The 2349-nt window shown below is 37.9% G+C and overlaps 2 annotated features.

Moving 5' to 3' along the window:
* Positions 465-1166: an enhancer, noted in NCBI's record as "OCT4-NANOG-H3K4me1 hESC enhancer chr11:81358275-81358976 (GRCh37/hg19 assembly coordinates)". NCBI's record gives its function as "activates a minimal SCP1, AML or CMV promoter by ChIP-STARR-seq in naive H9 embryonic stem cells {active_cell/tissue: H9 hESC(naive)}" and the evidence as "EXISTENCE:reporter gene assay evidence [ECO:0000049][PMID:30033119]".
* Positions 1167-1867: an enhancer, noted in NCBI's record as "H3K4me1 hESC enhancer chr11:81358977-81359677 (GRCh37/hg19 assembly coordinates)". NCBI's record gives its function as "activates a minimal SCP1, AML or CMV promoter by ChIP-STARR-seq in naive H9 embryonic stem cells {active_cell/tissue: H9 hESC(naive)}" and the evidence as "EXISTENCE:reporter gene assay evidence [ECO:0000049][PMID:30033119]".

Here is a 2349-nt window from a genome sequence, read left to right on the forward strand (position 1 = left end):
ACTTCACTCTTGTTGCTAAATTCTGTGATAACCCAGAGGCACCATGAGCCTGACTTGTGTTTGGGACTCATCTTCTAAAGAGCATTTTCTTTATGATCATTTCAAATCAATTGGATAAATTATGCTTATCAGTCTCTCATAAAACTCCTCATGAAATTATGTCTATGAAACAATTAAAATGAATATTAAAGGGTGAAGATATTAACAAGTTGTTGAAATTTTTCTTTATTAACTATTTTACTCTGAAATTGGCTAAGAAAATATGTACAGTCAAGGAATATTAGGGGTGATAATTTATACAGATTAATATCACTTAAACAAGGAGACTCAAATCAATAAGATACAGTTTTGTTTGGAGTTTTATAAATACAGATCTGTTAACTAAGAAACCTCTAAATTCACAACTAGATTCTAGCTTATTTTAGCAGAAGAAATCCTCTCCAGTTAATTATTTCTATGTCAATTAATCACTTTAGCCACCTCGCCACAACAGAGTGAGTTATAGCAAACAAATACTTCCCCTCTTCAAATCCACATCATCCGTATATGTATAAGAGCTCAAAAACATGAAAAGACATTTGATTCCTAGGTTTCCTTGACAAATACAGCAATTTCCATGAATATTAAACTTCTGTGATTCAGCAACTTTCACTCCTGTCTATATCACTGAATGTTAAATGCCAAAGAAGAGTTTGAATCCATAGCTCCCACCACTTGGCTTTTATTTTACAAGACTGAGGTATGTTTTTCCCAGCAGAAGAAGAGCATTTAAAGGTCTTTAAATTACACATGCTGAGTTGCATAACAATTGTCAACTAACTGAAAAGGTTAGAAGCGCACGCTTATGCTAAATGTGAAGTTGCCTATGAATCACAAAATGAGGCTGTCTCATTATCTACAGAATATTTCTAAGGGTTGGGAGAGAGAAGTAGAGTTACCGTCTGCACTAAAACTTTAATCAGAAGAATCCTGCTAAACTATCAAGCCCTTACTGTTCTGCTTCTTTAGCAAAAAAAAAAAAAAAAAAAAAAAAAAAAAGACTTTCTCAGTAAAAGTAAAGGCTATGATTGAGAAGGTTTTCCCATACCTAAAACAAGAAATGGCAAGAGCCTACCTGAAAGTGGATTGTGAGGTAGCTGGCACATTAGAAAAGAAAGCGACTAGGAAGCAGTCTTACCTTCAGTGTGGAGCAACCTCCTCCCCAGGCAGGCTGGCTTTTGGAAGAGTGTGCCCTCTTGCCAGGGCTGGCGAAGCAGCTGGGAAGAAGTGGCTGTCTGCCACTAGCTGTGACAGCTGCGTGTTGCCGGGTCCCTCAGATACTGGACTCTAGCGCTCCTCCAACAAATCAGGCAGTGGCCGCTTGTACCTCAGCAGAGGAAGCTGGGACTGCAGTTGCTAACGCTGCCTCACTTGAGGGGAAAACACTGGTGTGTGTGTGTGTGTGTGTGTGTGTGTGTGTGTGTGTGTGTGTGCCGCGCGTACACTAACTGCCAGCTCTAGGCTGTGCCGATGTGTTCTGCATACTCAAAATGCTCGTGCCAGGAGGAGTCTCCTCCACACAGACCCCAGCCTCCCCGCTGAGGAATCACAGTCCACTGACCTTGCGGCTGGGGAATCTGGCTGAACGGGGCTCTCTCATCAATAGATTCAACAATTAATCAAATAAAAGAGATTGGATCAGCATCAGATAGAGACAAGTGCTTCCCCCATGGGTACCGAAATTTTTTTTCAAATATATCTCTATTCAACATTTTATATTTAGAATTGATTTTTTCTTTTCTTTAAGCCATGATGTCTTGAACACAAAGTCTAATTGATGAGCCCCTAAGTTAAAACTTTTCAAGTTGTTTTCCCAGGCAGGATGGAATCTTACCTAGAAGCCAGTTCAAAACATTTATTCCAGAGACCTGTCAGACGCAGACTTGAACTCATAACAATCAAATTATGATGAGTTAGGCTAATGAACTGCTTCTAAAACCAGGGATTTCATGTCACTATACATAGCAGAAATGTTTGGGACCAGAGATAAAATCTATGTTTGAATCCAATCTCAGTTTTCTTTAACATTAATCCAATGAAAATTATGAGAAAATCCCTGTGCTGAGTGATGTGCTAATAATTCTATGAATTTCTTTATAAGACACACTACCATTATTAAGTGCATAATCTTGAGTCAGTCATTTAAATTTATTGATCTTTAACTTTTTCATCAGTAAAATTGTAGGTGTTTCTATGATGAGCCATTTAGTTAAAAGTACACATGAAAATCATTTGTAAACTATAAAGGGTTAACTGTACATTACAGATGTTTTTTAAATTGCCATAAAGAATGTGCAAGACTCTATGAGT

This window comes from Homo sapiens, chromosome 11, assembly GCF_000001405.40.
Source record: "Homo sapiens chromosome 11, GRCh38.p14 Primary Assembly".
Lineage (NCBI taxonomy): Eukaryota > Metazoa > Chordata > Mammalia > Primates > Hominidae > Homo > Homo sapiens.